Source organism: Homo sapiens, chromosome 2 (assembly GCF_000001405.40).
Source record: "Homo sapiens chromosome 2, GRCh38.p14 Primary Assembly".
NCBI classification, from domain to species: Eukaryota; Metazoa; Chordata; class Mammalia; order Primates; family Hominidae; genus Homo; species Homo sapiens.
Genome location: NC_000002.12, coordinates 235669346 through 235688242, shown reverse-complemented (window position 1 = coordinate 235688242; position 18897 = coordinate 235669346). Strand labels below are relative to the sequence as shown.

The 18897-nt window shown below is 48.4% G+C and overlaps 1 protein-coding gene across 5 annotated transcripts in view; it reads right to left on the bottom strand.

Annotated features, from left to right (window-relative positions):
- AGAP1 (ArfGAP with GTPase domain, ankyrin repeat and PH domain 1) overlaps positions 1 to 18897 on the bottom strand; it is a 637751-nt gene that overhangs the window by 443551 nt on the left and 175303 nt on the right. For 2 of the 5 annotated variants that reach the window (NM_001436125.1, NM_001436126.1), the window contains exon 1: positions 17186 to 18598. The exons of the other annotated variants lie outside the window; for them this stretch is intronic. In NM_001436125.1, coding sequence (NP_001423054.1) covers positions 17186 to 18143 — 958 coding nt within the window. In that variant the 5' untranslated portion in view covers positions 18144 to 18598. Of the gene's footprint in view, positions 1 to 17185; positions 18599 to 18897 lie in introns of those variants that run through there. 5 annotated transcript variants of the gene reach the window in all.

The window sequence follows — 18897 nt, the reverse complement described above, 5'->3', positions numbered from 1 at the left end:
AGCAAGAGTAGACAGGAGGTTCAAGATCCGAGGGCAAGGCTGGGCGTGGTGGCTCACGCCTGTAATCCCAGCACTTTGGGAGACCGAGGTGGGCAGATCACTTGATCAAGGTTGGGACTTTGAGACCAGCCTGGCCAGCATGGTGAAACCCCGTCTCTACTGAAAATACAAAAATTAGCTGGGTATGGTGGTGCGTGCCTGTAATCCCAGCTACTCTGGAGGCTGAGGCGGGAGAATGGCGTGAACCCAGGAGGCGGAGGTTGCAGTGAGCCAAGATGGCGCCACTGCACTCCAGCCTGGGTGACAGAGTGAGACTCCATCTCAAAAAAAAAAAAAAAAAAAAGTCAGAGAGCGGCGATTAAGAAGAAAAATCCAAAAAAAAAAGAAAAAAAAAATCCAGGAACACATCCTTCTACCAAAGAGCGCTGAATCCTCAGTAATGTGTACTTTGCCCCTGCTTAAATTATCTGACCTTCCTCATCACAGCTAATGTCTTAAATAAATCTCTGGCCACATCCTGCGAAGAAGATAAGTCTGATCTGAACGAAGGTGGCATTCCTGCATTCCTGTGTATTTTGGAAACGGACAAAATGAAAACTCATCAGGTCATGTAAGCCATCTTTCAAACACTGGTCCTCATGTAATAAGTTTTTATCTGCATGTTTATCAAATTAAACTGATATACATCCAATATATCTGTTTGGAAACTCACCTAAAATGAATTTTAAACTGGTATCTACGATGAAGGGCTATTACGATTTACACATATCGGACTGTCACCCCCAAAGGTCAACTACAAATGAAATCTGGACTCAAAGGTCTGCAGAGGGATGACATTCCTACATATGAAAGGTTTGGGTTAGCACTCCCCACCTAGGAACACTAAAACTGAAATCATTACACCTGATGGAACCGGAGAACTTAATCTCCTTCCAAAGGATCAATATCTACTTTAGACTTCAAAGAAATGGGAAATGTCACAAACATCTCCTGTGGTGTGGAAAATTAACTGCCTGAAGAATGGGAATCTGTTTGATAGCAAATGCCCAGATTCTTCTGTTGAGAACAATGTTTACTTTTAGAGCTAGGGTGCATCCCTTCATTGGACATACGAGGAAACTGAGGCCAAGTGAGAATGTTATCAGCTCCCGCCCACCTGATCTGCAATCTGCATGTCAAGTGAGCAGAAATGTAATGAAGTCCAGCAGGGTTCATCAGGGTTGAATGGAGAGTGGGTGGAAAGAAGAGTGAGGAAGATAATTATTCAAAAAGCCTTCCTAAGCCAAGCCCAGTGGCTCAGGCCCATAATCCCAACATTTGGGAGGCAGAGACAGGAGGTTCACTTAAGCTCAAGGGTCTGAGACCAGCCTGGGCAGCACAGTAAGACCTCATCTCTACAAAAAAAAAAAAAAATTATTTTAATTAGCTGGGCATGATGGCATGTGTCTGTAGTCTCAGCTACTTGGGTGGCTAAGGTGGGAAGACTGCTTAAGCCCATGGCTGTTGTGAACCATGATCACGCCACTGCGCTCCATCCTGGGCTTCAGAGCAAGACTCTGTCTAAAAAAAAAAAAAAATATATATATATATATATATCTATATATATATATATATATATATATCTATATCTCCACGTATATATATACACACACACGTGTGTGTGTGTGTGTGTGTGTGTGTGTGTGTATATATATATCTCCTTCCTGGGAACCAGAATTCGGACGTCAAATTTCAATCTGTCAGCAGTGTACGCTCACACTCATACCTAGGTTTGGCTACAAGTGCATGATTTTAATCCCCACAATATAATACAGGTGATGTTAGAGTTTTTATTCTGGGAGACAAAGAATTCCAATATAGAAGCTCTGCCTTCCCAAACCAGGAACAAAGATAATCTCCTGAACAAATTCTATCACTAAAGCACATCCACCATGGCAAAGTGTTCATTCCTATCGCCCATCTGACCATCTATTCACCTTGGCCAGCACCTCTTCCCTCCCAGCGGGTGCCCCGTACAGCAGGAGGCTTAGTCTATGGTCAGCTACCACTTGGGGGGACTTCAGCTTTACTGGATGAGATACATCTTTAAAATTCCTAAAAAGACCTGTGGAAAACAAAAATCTTAGGCCCCCAAAATCACTAAGCTAAAGGGAAAATTCAAGCTGGAAAATGCTCAGGACAAACCTGCCTCCCACTCTATTCAAAGTCATCGCCCTGCTCACTAAGTGCATATCTGATTGCCTCCTTTGGAAAGGCTCATCAGAAACTCAAAAGAATGTCAGAAGCCCCCTCCCCACTTTGAGTGGTCCTGCCTTTCTGGACCTAACCAATGTTTATTTTACATGTATTGATTGGTGTCTCATGTCTCCCTAAAACGTACCAAGCTGTGCTCAGGCCACCTCGGGCACATGTTGTTAGATCTCCTGAGGCTGTGTTAATGAGCGCACATCCTCAACCTTGGCAAAGTAAACTTTCAAGATTAACTGAGACCCGTCTCAAATTTTCGGGGTTCACAGAGCTCTGGAGCCAAATATTTCTGTTTTGATTTTTACAGTAAAAAAAATCGAAAGGTGCTAACAATATGGCATGACTAGTCATTTTTCATTGTGTTTTGAAAACAAAACCACCCATGGGCCTTCGGCTGTCCAGACAGACGCACCCTGTATACGCGTGGAGCAGTGAGGGGCCTCTGGTCTTCATAGCATTTGTTCTCTACTGGTCAGGTCCCAGGGGAGCATTACAGCCTCTGCTGGCAGCCACTGAAAACCAGAAAGCAAGCAGAAAAGGATATCGAGGTGATGAGAGGCCGTGGGACTAACAGCTGAAGGTGTTTCAGGCATCAGAGAGGCAGCCACACAGGAGGGGGATCAGCAGGGCTCAGTGTGACCCAGAGAGATGAGAACTGAGCCCTGAGAGCCCCTGGAAGGAGGCCTGCACTGCCAAGAGTCTGCTGCATGAACCCAGGAAGGGAGGAACCCACACACCAGGGCACACAGGCAGCTGCCAGGTCAGGGAGGCGGCTTGTGGCTTCCTCTCAGGAACTCTTCTGTCCTCATCAGGGTAATAAAGAAAGGTCCCCTCACAAGGCGTGAGTCCCCAGCAACAGGCAAAGAAGAACCCTCTGGGCACCAGGATTCTGCAACCAGCCCACTCAACCTCGGCCCACCCAGCAAAGCCCTCAGAACCTGCACACCCCTGACTCTCACAACCCCTGGGGCCTCTGGGGGTCCTGCCACAGGGAACCAACCAGCCACACCTGGAGCACAGGGTCTCCAAGAACAAGGGCTTCACAATGGCCATGGTGACTTGTATGCCACAGTCATCCCAGATTGGACAGGGCATGACCGTAAGCAGTACAGCATGATCCAAAATAGGCCCTGGTGTTCCTAATGCCAGATAGTCTCTCCTGTTGGTCACAATTCCTAATCTCTGAAAGTGCCTCTAAGATTGACGAGTGATACCAACAAGTTATTCATCTGACGCAGCTCTAAAAACTCAAGCAGCCATGGATGGTAAACAGTAGCTTCCCTCATACAAGAAAGGGGCTGCACCTTGCTTTTTTGCAGCAGCTTCCCATCTATAGTTCAGAAAAGAGGTAAGTGTGTATGGATCCACACTCCAAGAAATCACTAAGACTCACTCATTTCTAAGACACTGCTCTGCACCTGATGAATGAGTGCAGAAGTTGCTGCAAAAGTTACAGTCCAGAAGCAGCTGGCAAATCCTCAAAAGGAAGCCTCTGAGCACCCAGCGCTCCCATCATTCCATTTAGGAATTAATGTGTAAATGGGACATTCTGGGCAATGACGGTTTTTTCCAAACTGAGAATGAAGCCTAGGGCTTGCTCCTTCACCAGGCCACGATGGGCTGGGTCTCGTGATTGCCTTAAGAAAGGCTGTGGCCAGGTGCGGTGGTTCACACCTGTAATCCCAGCACTTTGGGAGGCCGAGGCGGGTGGATCATGAGGTCAGGAGATCGAGACCATCCTGGCTAACATGGTGAAACCCTGTCTCTACTAAACAAAATACAAAAAATTAGCCAGGCGTGGTGGCGGCCACCTGTAGTCTCAGCTACTTGGGAGGCTGAGGCAGGAGAATGGTGTGAACCCGGGAAGCGGAGCTTGCAGTGAGCCGAGATCGTGCGACTGCATTCCAGCCTGGGCGACAGAGCAAGACTCCATCTCAAAACAAACAAACAAACAAAAAAAGGATGAGTTCATGTCCTCTGCAGGGACGTGGATGAAGCTGGAAACCATCATTCTCAGCAAAACTATCACAAGGACAGAAAACCAAACACACCATGTGTTCTCACTCATAGGTGGGAGGTGAAAAATGAGAAGACATGGACACAGGGCGGGGAACATCACACACTGGGGCCGGGCGGGGGACGGGGGGCTTGGGAGGGATGGCATTAGGAGAATTACCTAATGTAAATGACGAGTTGATGGGTGCAGCAAGCCAACATGGCACATGTATACCTATGTAACAAACCTACATGTTGTGCACCTGTAACCCTAGAACTTAAAATATAATAAAAAAAAAAAGAGAGAGAGAGAAAGAAAAAACAAGGCCATCTCCTCAAAGGAGAGCAAGCTGGACTCCTGACCTCAGCACATACCTTTCAATCCAGAGCTTCTTCACCTTTCTAACAAGTTATTCCTAAATTTTACAAACTTACATTTAGCACATTTAAATATTAAAATAACTAAACTTATTTTATAATCTATAAGTTTTATTTGTATAATTTATTAATATTAAATATAATATGTATTAAGTATTGTATAATATTTATAAATTATACAAATGTAGATGGCATTATATCAATATGTGTATATGAGGGAGGCAAGTACATTTTTAATAAAACAATGGTATCTAAAATAGTTACTTCTTTCCAAGGGATCAGTATTTTTACCAATTCTGTCTTTTTTGTTGTTGTTTGAGATGGAGTCTCACTCTGTTGCCCAGGCTGGAGTGCAGTGGTGCGATCTCAGCTCACTGCAACATCTGCCTCCCGAATTCAGGTGATTCTCCTGCCTCAGCCCCCCAGTAGCTGGGATTACAAGTGTGTGCCACCATGTCCAGCTAATTTTTATATTTTTAGTAGAGATGGGGGTTTCACCATGTTGACCAGGTGGTCTCGAACTCCTGGCCTCAAGTGATCTGCCCACCTCGGCCTCCCAAAGTGCTGGGATTACAGGAATTAAGCCACCGCACCGGCCCTCAGTTCTGTCTTAAAGGGAAGAATTTACTTTGCGTTTTCCAGGAGAATAAGATTTCCCATAGACACAGAACCATGGCAGGGTAGCCACACTTCCTTCCAGAACATTCCCTGTGTTGGAGGGGGTGAGATGAGTCCATCAACAAAAGAACTACAGCAGCTGGCAACAGACCGGAACATGAATTCCGTGCTCGTGCTGCCTGAAAACACACACACACACACACACACGTGTGCACACACCCACACATCGAGTTCACTCACCAGTGCCCAGCAGGTTAAATGCCATTGTCAGTCCTAGTTTTTCGGGTGAGAAAACTGAGGCACAAACAAGTTAAATAACTTGCTAAAGGTCACAAATCTAGAAGCAAAATCAGGGTTCTGTGCCAGGCATGGTGGATCAGGCCTATAATCCCAGCACTTTGGGAGGCTAAGGTGCGAGGATCATTTGAGGTCAGCAGTTCAAGACCAGCCTGGCCAACATGGCAAAACCCCATCTCTACTAAAATTAAAAAAAAATTAACCAGGCATGGTGGCAGACACCTGTAATCCCAGCTACTCGAGAGGCTGAGGCAGGAGAATCTCTTGAACCCGGGAGGCAGAGGCTGCAGTGAGCCGAGAGTGCACCACTGCACTCCAGCCTGGGCAACAGAGTGAGACTCCATCTCAAACAAAACAAAACAAAACAAAACCCCCACAAAACAGGATCCTGGTTCCAGACGCCTCATTCTTGGCCACCAAGCTAGTTCAGAGTGAAAATGAAATATGCCCAGCTTGAAAGGAGGAGTCCACAACGTACATATTATTTCTATATTAAAACAAACAAAAAAAACAGTGCTGATACGGTTTCATAACACAGTATAAAATATGCAAACCGAGGCCAAGCACGGTGGCTCACGCCTGTAATCCCAGCACTTTGGGAGGCCAAGATGCGTGGATCACAAGGTCAGGAGTTCGAGACCAGCCTGGCCAACATGGTGAAACCCTGTCTCTACTAAAAATACAAAAAAAATTAGCTGGGCGTGGTGGCGGATGCCTGTAATCCCAGCTACTTGGGAGGCTGAGGCAGAGAATTGCTTGAACCTGGGAGGCAGAGGGTGCAGTGAGCTGAGATTGTGCCACTGCACTCCAGCCTGCGTGACGGAGTGAGACTCTGTATCAAAAAAAAAAAAAAAAAAAAAAAAAGCAAACTAAATTAGACCCTTTATAGGACTTAGGTATACACACGTGAAAAACAGTTAAATTTCACCAATACTGTAATTCCCAACCTACTGCTCTATTAACAATCAACCTTAAAAAGTCAATTAACACAGAGTCCTAAGAGGACATTATTCAGTAAGTGCTGGTTAATGCTAACAGTACAGATGAAAATTAAAACTGTATTATATTTTTAGGTGCATACTGTATTCCACATTTATTCTTGTGAACTTGAACTGTTAGTCTCAAGAATGAGTGAACAAAGCCTTTAAACTTTAACAGGTCTTTGAAAAAACAATGGCTCTGCATGTGTCTGGCTGTCCACCTGTCGGCTGTGTTGGGGCAAGGGAGTAGACAAGGTGGTTCACCAGCTGGAGGAAAGGTGACAGGACAGAGGCCTAGGTTTGCAGTCACTCCTCTCCCGCTCTAGCATGGCACCAGGTTTGTAGTCACGCTCTAGTGCATGCTTCCTCCTCGGGAGGCGCGTAAGAAGGGTCATAGAGTGTGTCAAAAGGGCTAAAATTGCCGGGCATGGTGGCTCACGCCTGTAATCCCAGCACTTTGGGAGGCCGAGGAGGGCAGATCATGAGATCAGGAGATCGAGACCATCCTGGCTAACACGGTGAAGCCCCGTCTCTACTAAAAATACAAAAAAATTAGCTGGGCATGGTGGTGGGCACCTGTATTCCCAGCTACTCAGGAGGCTGAGGCAGGAGAACGGTGTGAACCTGGGAGGCGGAGCTTGCAGTGAGCCGAGATGGCGCCACTGCACTCCAGCCTGGGCGACAGAGCGACACTCTGCCTAAAAAGAAAAGGGGGAGGGGGGGCTAGAATTTTCAGAGGCCAGCAAACTGCCCAGCTGAGAGGAAGTAGGAAAAACACAGCTGGCTGCATCCTGAGCTGCAGCTGTGAGCATGATCATCTTATCTGGGTTCACAGTCCCAGTGTCAGCTCAGGTGTTCAGAGGCGGAAGCTGGCCCAGGAAGTGTGGAGTAGAACTCTGAGCTGAACCTCTGGGAGCCCGCAGCCACTCTCTTCCCACCAGGCCAGGCAATTCTGGTGAGGCCTGAAAATGAGGATCTGCCTAAGGACAGCATTCCCAACAAGGAGAAGCTCAGGCAGGAGACCCGCGCCAGGATGCTCCTGGCAGGTACAGCCCCAGCTGCACACACCTATGCTAGTACATTCACCCTGTCAGCACCAGTCAAAATGGATGTCACTTGCTCCCTGCCAAGGACAAGACACCAGGAGAAGCCAGCCTCCTGCTCTCGGTGCCTCCCCACATGGCTTCAAGAGGATGCCTGGGACCCCTTCCCCAGGCCCATAGAGAGCCACAGAACAGAGATGGGGGGATCACACACATCAAGTCACCTGAGACGGGTCCAAATGGACACGAGGGTGCTTCCCAAGTCACAGCTTCTAGAGGGGGCTGCAGGGCCCCTGACCCCTCTGGACACCAGCATTCACACTCAAACCCCTGCCCTGTCCCACCCCTACAAGGGCTCAGGCCCAACACTTCTCCCGCGCCAAATTAAAGCCCAAATCCTGGCCCAACATCCTTGAATTCTTAATATTTTAGCTCATTTCCACGGACAAAGCAGATTTTACCACTCTTCTATGAATATATATTTAATTACCGCTCTTCAGTTGCAAGGCGTGGGTAGCCCACAAGGAAGGTCAGCCAGGGGGCCAGCTCCCTGTGCTCTGATCTCCTGCATATAGAGCTAAAGTTCCTCTCACTAGTTACTTGCTAGCTCAACCACTATCTAAGTTTGTAACATTATCTTCAATGGTTAAGCCACGGTGCTTTTTATCCAAAGTAGTAGTACGTTACTTAGAAACGACAGTCAAAATGTCAGCGTCAGTACAACACAGATCCACGTAACACCATTCGCATCATATTAGAAACCTAAATATTTGAAAATACGGAATTCACCAAATGACCTTTACTACACTCCACTGAACAAACCTGATCAATATACTGTGTCAGTGCTTTCTTACTCTGAAGACTAAAAGTCACGCCCAACAAGGAATATCCATCCTTATTCTCTAAAATCTCAAGAGCACAGATTACTCTGCTTTCCAGGCAATGCTCTCTGGTGCCAGCCCTCCAGGAGAAGGCACAGCAGGGATTAGGAAAGGTGATGTTGGGACGCAGCACTCAGACTAGCTGTCCAAAATAAACACATATTTGGCTTGTACCAGGAATGAGACGAATCCATATGCTGCCAAGTAATCGCTACTCCTCCGAATAAGAGGAGTGGGAAGGGGATTAAGCCAAAGGAAAAAAAGAGAACTCTATTCTCCCCATTTATAATTTTAAGGTAACAGTGGTCAATAATTTTAAAGGAAGTAGTTAAATTGAAGATCATGAGAAAATACAGGGGAAAACAGTGAAAGCAAAATACAAGGTTGGCTTATACTTGGAGCTTCGGGATATAAGAAATCCACCTGGGCAAATGTATATCTCATAGTAACTATAAATGCAAACACAGCCACATATGCAATATTTCTATTTTTAGGTCTTTTGCAAAACCCGTATTACAGCTAAATAAAGTAAAGCAAAGATATGGTGCTGGGCTGCACAGTGACATATCTGTTTACTGGCACAAGGTAGACAGAGCTCAGGGATGTAGATAACTAGGCAGAATCACCTTACTAACCGAAGTATTGTTGTCAAGACTAAATCCACTCCACCAAATCAAGACACTGTGCTTTCTCCATGTGGCAATTTAAATGTGTTCCAACAACCAACAGAAAAGCATTCTTTCTTTCTTGCCGCCATCATTGTATTATCCACACACCTGAAATCAGTTTTCGAGTCAAGGCTGGCTGTGCACAGGGAGAATCCGATTAAGATCATGCCCAGCCACCACTCACCATCTGGATGCCCAGAAGACAAATGGCATCGGTATCGAGAGGGGCTACATGGCGAAACACAAGCCCAGGCAGCACTACTGTGGGGCTGGCAGGCAGGAGAGCGGGAGTGGGAAGCAGGGACCTTCCACCCAGCACCTTGCAGCTGACAGGCAGAACTCTTACTACGTCTCAGGTGAGCCGGCAGAATATACCAGGATCCCAAGGTGGGGGCGGGAGGGAGGCAGGCAGGCAGGAGGACAGTCCAAAGAAACTCCAGACAAATATCTTCCTTTAAGCCTGGGAGAAAACTACCCCCTGAGAGAAGACCAGGTACAAAAATCAAATCCTAGATCCTGAAAGGACTCTAGACCTTGAAAACTAGGATGGGACTTGAAGTCCATCAATTCTACCAGCAACAACACACACAGCCCCCGTCCTAACAATCCCTCGCCAGCCCGAGTCTGGGTGCCTCCAGTGATAGGAGAAGCCAGCTTCTTCCAAAGCAGAATGGCTATGCTTGTGAGAAATTACTTCCTAATTCTGAGCCCCAATCTTTTTCCTTTAAGTTTCCTTAACCAGCGCTAGACACTGTGTCCTTTCTATGTGTTTCTCTAATACTAGGAACAAAGCCTCCATGCTCCAGTCTCCTCTTCCAAATTACACATCCAGAGTGTCTTCAATGAACTTGGCTTCCAGAGTGTTCATGAACCAGATCAGGAGAGAATAGACATCTATGAACAAATCCAAAAGAGAACAGACTCTCAGAAGGTTGGGATTCTAGTTTGGCAGCTGAAATAGCCGGAAGAGTGAGATATCCAAATATCTTGGAGCTGTCAACGAGCTGCATTGGCACCAGAGGAGCAAAAGCCAGCGCCGCGCAGGCTCACCGGCACCATAAGCGACTGCGCCCGCTCCTGAGGCGGCAGCACTTACTGTACAGGAAAGCAAGTCACAAATACGCATCCTCAAGGCCAAAACTCTGCTTTGCATATTTTCACAGAATAACTGGTTTTGCTTTTTTTTTTTTTTTTTTTTTTTTTTTTTTTTTTTTTTTTTTTTTTTTTTTGGTAAAGAGCTAATGGGGGCAGAAAGGCAGAAACTGGATAAATATTCTTCTCTCGCCTCCACCAACAGAAGTGATATCTGAGTGATTCTGATCCTGTGTAGGAGTCAGAGAGGGCAGGAGCCGCATCAGAAAGGCTGGCGGCATTGTTCACCGAGTCAATCTCAAGTGCCTGACGGTCAGCAGACCGGCTCAAAGAAACCCTCGCAATGACAGGCACAGAGAGCAAAGGGCACACAAGATTCCCTCTGACAATCGTCTCAAGCAAATGAACATCCACTCAAATGATGCACCCAAAGGCCGTACAGAGAATAAAGGAGCATTCCTGTGTGTTGACCACAACACCCGGCACACAACGTCACGTGAAATCTTGGACCTAACGATCACACCAGAAACAGATTCAAAACATTTTCACCATTCCAAACAAAGGACAGTATAGGAAAGAAACCGTCATTTTCCCTTCCACTCCCACAGACCAAAATGCACCTCATAAAAATTATCTTCATTTCTTAGATAAGGAGTCGCCGAAACAATCCCTTCACAAGCCTCTCACTGGTACACCCTGGTACTGAATGAGAGAGGAGAGGACTCTCATCTTCTGACCCAGGGAAGCGTGCTGTCTGGTAAGCTTTGAGTCTTTAGAGCTGTTAGTGATGTCACCATTAAAAATCAACTAGGAAAATGAACACAATAAAAGATGGTAAGAAAACAAAGGGCCAATAGCCATCTCTGAATTAAAACTAGCTAAATGTAATTAAAGGAGCAGCTACGTTCATGTCTTCACAGGAGAAGAGAGAACTAGCAAACGTGAATGCAAGTATCAACGATGGGAAACACAGTTCTAGGGCTATCACCAACAAGGAACAATCAACACCACAGCGGATTCTAATTTGGGCTGAATAAAACCTAAACCAAAACAATCAAGGGCAGATGGTACTTCTTTCAAAATAATGAAAAGACAATAATCTCCTCCCTTTTTGCTAATCCGTTGACCTTAATACCAATTCTGTTCTTAATCACCTGGCGACATGAGTGCAGCTGTATGCACTTTATCTCATCATGAGACTACCCTCAATAACTATAACTTTTTTTCATTATTTCACTCATTGTGACATCATTTTAAGTTAATATAATTGTTTCAAATCATTACAGGAAAACAAATTGACAATAGCCTAAAGGAGAATTCCTATCAGAAACAAAAACCATATACCGAAAATATTTTTCAAAAACAAAAACACCAAAGCTCATTGTAGAAAGAGTAACATCCTGTTTTATGTTTAGTGTTGGCATTAGTCATAAGGATCTGGGGAACAGGAATAAATTCTTAACAATTAACTATAGAAATCCCAAACACCTTGCTGGTGGAGTCACTCTTCTCTACCTGGTAAACTCCTACAGATCCTACAAGATCCAGCTCATTTGCCCCTCTGTGAGGCCTTCATTAACTCCTTCCCATTAACTCAAGAACATTCAATTCACTCCCTCTTCTAGTTCTCTCATTAGTTCCACCCATAAACATTTACTAAAATCTATGTGTCAAGCACAGTGTCTACAACTCTGCAGTACACAGAGGAATGATACGTGCTTCATGCCCAGGAAGGACTCACTAGTTAGAAGTGGCAGGCATGTATGCAAGGTTATTGTTACACAGTGGACTAGTGCTCTAATGGAGATATGCTATGCAGAGAAATAGTCATATCATCCCTCAAGTACCCCATGAGGCTGTGATTCATTCAATCTTTTCCATCTCCTCCAGTATGCTACTGACCTCTGAAGACAGGAACTGTGCTCTAGTTAGCTCCAGCTTCCACTGCCTAGTGAATGCAGAACACACCATAAACATGCAATATATGTTTGTTAATGCATTAAAAAGACAAAAACTACTAGTGCTTTATAATTGGGTCTTACAGCTCCAAACAAAAGGTATTTGTTAACTGTATAACCCAATAATTTGCTACAATGTGCCTGTCAACACTGGAGGACCTCTGGAGCAGATGTACTTTTGAACATTCCCCCTGGTGGCAGGATATTCCAGCCCAAGTCTCTTTGATGACTTATCAAAGAGAAAGATGTTAACAGGTGACCTATGCTGAAACTTGGGCTCCAACCTAAGGAAATAAACAGCAGGACACAGCCCACAGCGGTGACTTAGAAGGTTCCCTGGCTGACGTTCAGCACAGCTCTTCCTTGTACCCCAAGTACAACTGCTCTGTCTCCAGGAGAATCATTTTAGCCCTAAACAAAAATAATGAGGAGTTTCCTAAATTGCTATCTGGAGTAATTTACAAAAAGCAAGCAAACTCTAGGAATGTTCAATTGTAACAACAAAACACTGTAGATAATCAATTCTAATAACAAAAGACTAATCAGTTCAAAATGTTTCAAATGAGAAACACTGAATTACATAGTTTCCTTACTAGTGTCCTTTTCAGGCCAGGCGCGGTCGCTCAGGCTTGTAATCCCAGCACCTTGGGAGGCTGAGGCGGGTGTATCACGAGGTCAGGAGATTGAGACCACAGTGAAACCCCGTCTCTACTAAAAATACAAATAAATTAGCCGGGCGTGGTGGCGGGCACCTGTAGTCCCAGCTATTCGGAGAGGCTGAGGCAGGAGCATGGCATGAACCCGGGAGGCAGAGGTTGCAGTGAGCTGAGATCGCGCCACTGCACTCCAGCCTGGGCGACAGAGCGAGACTCTGTCTCAAAAAAAAAAAAAAAAACCAACCAACCAACCAACCAACCAACAAAAAGTGTCCTTTTCAGTAACAAATCAAATTTAAAAATCAAACTTTATCAAATTGTTTCAGTAATTTTATTTCATTTAATTGCTGTGTCCTCACGTTCTCCACTGAAGGCTGTTTGTTTTAAATGGTTTAAAAAATAAAAATATAAATGGTTTAAAAAATAAAAATAATAAAATAATAAAATAAAAAAACCACAGGTGTGGTGGCTCATGCCTGTAATCCCAGACCGAGGGGGGTGGATCAAGAGGTCAAGAGATGGAGACCATCCTGGCCAACATGGTGAAACCCTCTCTCTACTAAAAACACAAAAATTAGCTGGGTGCGGTGGCATGCGCCTCTAGTCCCAGCTACTGGGGAGGCTGAGGGAGGAGAATTGCTTGAACCTGGGAGGGGGAGGTTGCAGTGAGCTGAGATCGCTCACTGCACTCCAGCCTGGCAACAGAGTGAGACTCCATCAAAAAAAAAAAAAAAAAGTCTATCACCCTACAGTAATTGACTGATACAAATCAAGGGAATCAGAAATTAAAGAACAAAGCCACTCATAAAATGTGCTGTCAAAAATCAGTTGTAAATTACTAATTTTAAAAGCTAACCTCAGTAAGAGGTATCAATGAATCACTTTATTACTGTAATCAATCCTCCCAGACAGCAAGAGAACACTCTAAAGACACCGAATGTTCTGGATGGGCATAGCCAGTGTGGGCTTCACTCACAGCACAGCTGGTTCCAGGGCCGGCCCAGACGGCATCCACTGGGATGCAGAGAGCATGCGCTGCAAGGGGACCCCCTACAATGTCATTTATCATTTATTATTTGATCTTTCCTTGTATTAAATTATACTTGAGTCAACGGACTCTGCCCTAACACATGTGTATCAGTTAACACGAAACTGCCCTTGATCTGACACAGGGTCTTTCTGGAATGTCTGCTGGCTTGCTGCTATCAGTTGCAAGCCTTACACAGAGGGAGCAGCCCTGAACTCACCGAGGCAACTGTTCTGCATTAGAGGGAAGAACTAGGAAGAGCCTAAATAGACAAGTTCCAACAAGGACCAGACAGTACAAGAGAATCATCCTACAAAAGGTAGGTGCTCCAATCCTTTCATCCTTAATGCCTTCAGTTCAGAATACAGGCAAACCAAAGGTACACGTATGTAGGAGCCTGTGTGTGCTTTAAAATAAGACTCCAGCCATCTTGCTTCCCTGTGCTAATGGAAATACCTTGCCTAAGCAATTAACTCTAAGCCAAATAGACTAATGCAATAATTACTTAGTCTTTAGATTTCTGTAGCCAATTCAAAAATTTACTAGCTCTTTTAAAGAATATGAAAAGATTCTAACGGAAGAAAAACCTGTACCAGCTGAGGTCACTTCTAATTTCCTTTATATTTTCAAGGACTCCAAATTTTAAAACATTATGGCCAAAATGTACAGAAAGCCAGTGGTGCTTCTCATGATGCTTATCACGTTGCAGGTCTACGATAGTTTAGCTGTCAATCTGAAATCCAAAAAGGTCTGAGAATGGAACTTCTTTTCATAAATGGCTGGCAAATTACTTTGGTGGCAAAACCAGACTCTAACTGGCACGAGGCTATTTTTAATCACTATTTATTTCACTGAGTATGGATATTTCAGGCTTTGCTGCAAAATACTAGTGTGTTACTAAAGGGCGCCACCCGATCTCACAAGCAGCGTTCTATATAACACACACCATTTTACCTTCCTCAGATCCAAAATTTCCGAGTCCTACAAACCCACCTGTCCCCAGTGGTTTGGGGACTTGCATCCTATGGACATTTACAGGGAAACTGAGCTTGGGCTCTACTGTATCTGACTGTTACCTTAGAGATTCTCACCTAAATTCAAAATCTTAAACAGCACCTAAATTCTGAATAATTTATGTCACAGGAAGCAAATATGTAAAGACTGGAAAAATGTAATAAAATGAGAAGTTGTGACACCTATGGGGGCTACACCTTTTACCTGTAACAGACACTGGCATCACCAAAATCCTAAGAATATTGACATGTCAGACATTTTAGCCAAAGGCAAAGAATTTATCCAGGTGAAAGATGTAGCTTTTTTGAGCATGTGATTACTTAGAACTTCAGAAAAAAGTGAGGCCCTAGAGTTCTGACCATATGGCTATAATGTAGTTCATTAAATTTCCGTTTTTCTATACAACCCACAATGCTGGTAATATCATGTCTCAGACCAAAGTAATTCCGCCCAGAGAAGGACTGACCACAAGGAACAAACTGAGCATTACTATAAACATTCCAACACACTTCACACCCTTACTACTCCAAATCTACTATCAATCCATTTGACCAGAGAGGAACTATCCAAACTCCAAATGCTTTTAACTTGTATCAAGAGGGACCACAATGAAATGCATTCTCTCTAAATCATGTCTGTGCGTTTTTCTTTCTCTCTCTGATACAAACTTGTCTGGAACCGAGGCAGCTAATTACTGTTTTCTTCCAAGTCCACAGAGCAAAGATGCAAGCCTGCTATTAGAGAACTGAGACCTTCAGGTCTTAACTTCCTCTGAAAGCCAATGATGACAGGAGCAACTTCGTGCAAACCAATTCTTTTAACAAAATAACACGCATCATGTTCTCATATTTTAAGAGAATACATGAAGGGATGGGATAATGGTTGGAGTTAAATACAGTGCCTTCTAAAGTAAGTGCTCCAAGGGAGGTTAAAACTAGATGTGCCATGACAAGCTAAACATAAGTGTGGCAACAGTGTAGCCTCACTAGTGAAACAGGTCAGATTTTAACATTACCGCACATGCCACTGCTTGGTTTCAACCATCCTCTAGCACATTCTGAGGATCATTAGGAGCATATTAGAACATGACCATTTTATCTTCACTTTACCTTAAAAATATTTCCATAAGGACAGTCATTTATTTGCATGAGTTGGTTTTAACATAAACCCTAGGGGCAGTCAGCTGACCTGTTAAGTCCACTTGGGATGAATACCCTCTCCAGAGGTGGGTTACACAGCAGTCTGAACTGCAAATCAAAAGCCCACTCTCCAACTACCTTTATCTGTACCAGCCAAGTTAAAGAATTCAGATAAGAGGATGAATAATATTTTTTTTTTTGGTGGTAAAAATGCATGGCCTCTTGTCTGTGGCCACAATATCTTCAGGCATACAACCCCCTCCCAGGAGAATAAGGTGTAGCAATCTAGCACCACTTCCACCCCCAGAATCCCCCTCAGGGTGATGCGCAGTTGATGGAGTCTGTGTTTTGAGGTTTCTGGAGGCTCTGACCCCGAAATGCTACCAAAAGGTTAACTGATTCCTGCAGAGAATAACATATCTGGCTGGAGATCCCTCCATGCAAAGTCCCTGTCTGAGGACTTAAGGGAACACAGACCTGAGGTTTCAGAACAGGCTGCAGGGCTGCGGTTTTCCTGCCCTTTTGCTAGCCTACATTATGAGGAAACAGAATCCAGTCCCAGACTCGCTCTCCTCATTAAGATGCCACCTGGCAGGAAAGCTGTGGAGAGAGGGGCCTCCGTCCCACCCCAGGCCCCACCACTGTAGTGAGGTGTCCTTACAGCCAGCTCAATACCGAGGGCCACGGAGTCAGCTGAGTCCACATCACAACACTGACAGATGGTAGCACTAACAGGGAGACGACTCGAGGCAGGGAGGGGCGCCAGGATGAATGCCGGCTTCTCCCATCCAGGCAGCCGCACCTGTGCGGCGGCGACCGGCGAGCCTCGGCTCCCTGGGGCGGCCCCACAGGTGTCGCGGGCAGCCAGCTCAGGGCCCGCTCCCGCAGAAGACCCAGCGAGCACGCGAAGGAGGTCGGCGCCGGCTGGCAAGGCGACCTCTCCCGGGTCAAGCTCTCCTTGATGAAGGTGGTGGACTCCGAGGGGCACCAGCACGCACAGCCAGGCGCAGGGGCAGCCAGAAAACCCAGGACCGCTGCGCCCTGCTGGGGAAAACCGCAGTACCCGAGTTCGCATCCCTCGAGGCCACGTGCAGGCTCCCGACCCGGGAGGGCGGGTCCCATAGCCGCTGCGGAACCGGCAAGTCCCCACCACGCCCCTTCCCGTCCCGGGACCCCCGGCCACGCTGCCCACCTCTGCGCGGGGAGCCGTCGATGCTCTCGGCGCTGGACGAGTGCGCTTCGGCCGGGGCCCGCCGCAGGCTGAAGTAGCCGCGTGGCCGCGAGGCTCCGCTCCGTGGCGAGGGCCCGCCGCCCGGGCCCCCGTCCCTGCGCGCGAAGATGCCGCTGAAGAAGCGCAGCAGCCGGTGCTCCGAGGCCGCGCCGGCCCCGGCCGCCGCCCGCGCGCGCTCCAGCCGCTGCAGGTCGCTGTTGTCCAGCGTGCGGTTCTTGCTCTTACTGCGTTCCCAACGCTCCAGGTCCGAGAGCGCGTCGTTCTTGCTGAGCACCTCGCCCACGTCCAGGGTGTTGCGCTTCTCCGAGGCGGGCTGCGTGGCGGTCGCGGGCTCCAGGGTGGTCCCGGCCGCGGCCTCGTCGCACGGCGCCCAGGCCAGGCTCCCGGAGCTGCTGTGGCGCCTTCCGCCGCCCAGTGTCCGGCCTTGCGGCGCCTCAGGCCCGCTCCAGTGCCTGAAGCTCAGGCTCCGCCGCAGGGGCGCGGCCCGGGCCCCCTCCACGTCGGGGCTGCCGGACGCGGGCGAGCCGCGTCCCTCCTCCTCGGCCGGGGCGCTGCCGGCCAGGTCCGCGGGTTCCAGGCCGCGTGCGCACGGCCGGAGCCGCCCCAGTTCCAGCTGCCCGGTGCTGCGGGTGCGGAAGGTGCGGAAATCCCAAGCGCGCGGCCGGGGACCCTCCGGTTCCTCGGCGCCCTCCGCCTCCTCGGCCTCCTCCTCAAGCCTCCCGGGCGCGTCCGGGGAGCGCGCGGGCCGGGGCCGCCGAACCGGGCGTGGGTCCGGGCCGCCGGAGCCCGGCGCGGCCAGCTGCTCCTTCCTGACCATGGTCACGGAGATGCGGTAGACAGTCTTTCTGGGGGGCGTCCCGCGCGGCATCGCGTCCGCGGGTGGCGACGCGGGCTCGCCACTGCCGTCCAACAAGTACATGTCGCCCGCGCGCTGGGGCCCCGCCGCATCCAGCGAGCCCGCGGGCCGGGAGGGCGCCGGGCCAAGCGGGGAGGGCAGGCGGGCCGGGAGTGTGGCCCACGCCCCCCGCTGACCGCGAGGGCCGCACTCAGGCTGCGGGGACGGCGCCCCTGGCACCCGCCGGCCCGTGCGCCGCGCCGCCCGAGTGCCGGGGTCCGGGCCCGGGGCGCCGAGCCATGGGCCGGCGGGGCCAAGCGAGGCGGCCGGTCAGGCGCTAGAGCGCTCTCGCCGGCAGGTGCGGCCGCGGTGCGCAGGGCCCAGGGCAGGCGGCGGCGCCCGCGGCTTCATTGTCTACGACGCGGGGCCCGTGCGCATCCTCCCGCTCCGGCTGCACAGCTCGGCGGTTCCGCAGCCTCCGCCACTCCCTGGGCTCCGGGACGCGCGGACAGCTGCACCGGCTGCGGCCGAAGGGTGGCGGGTGGCGGGCGGCGGGCGGCGGTTTAAAATGGAAACGCGCGCCGGGGCGGGGCGGGCGACGGGGGCCGACGTGCAAGGGACCGCGGGCCGCGCGCCCAGCCGGGCTGGCCGAGTCCCGGGAGCGCGGCGGCGGCGGCGGCGGCGAGCGCGGCGGCGTGCAGGCCCAAGCGCCGGGATGGATCGACGCAGCGCGGACCGGAGCCTCCGAGGGGCCCAGCCCAGCACCAGCCTGCACCCTAAAACCACGCCCACTCTGGGGCTTGGCCTGCAAGAACAAAACGAGGGGCATGTCTCACCT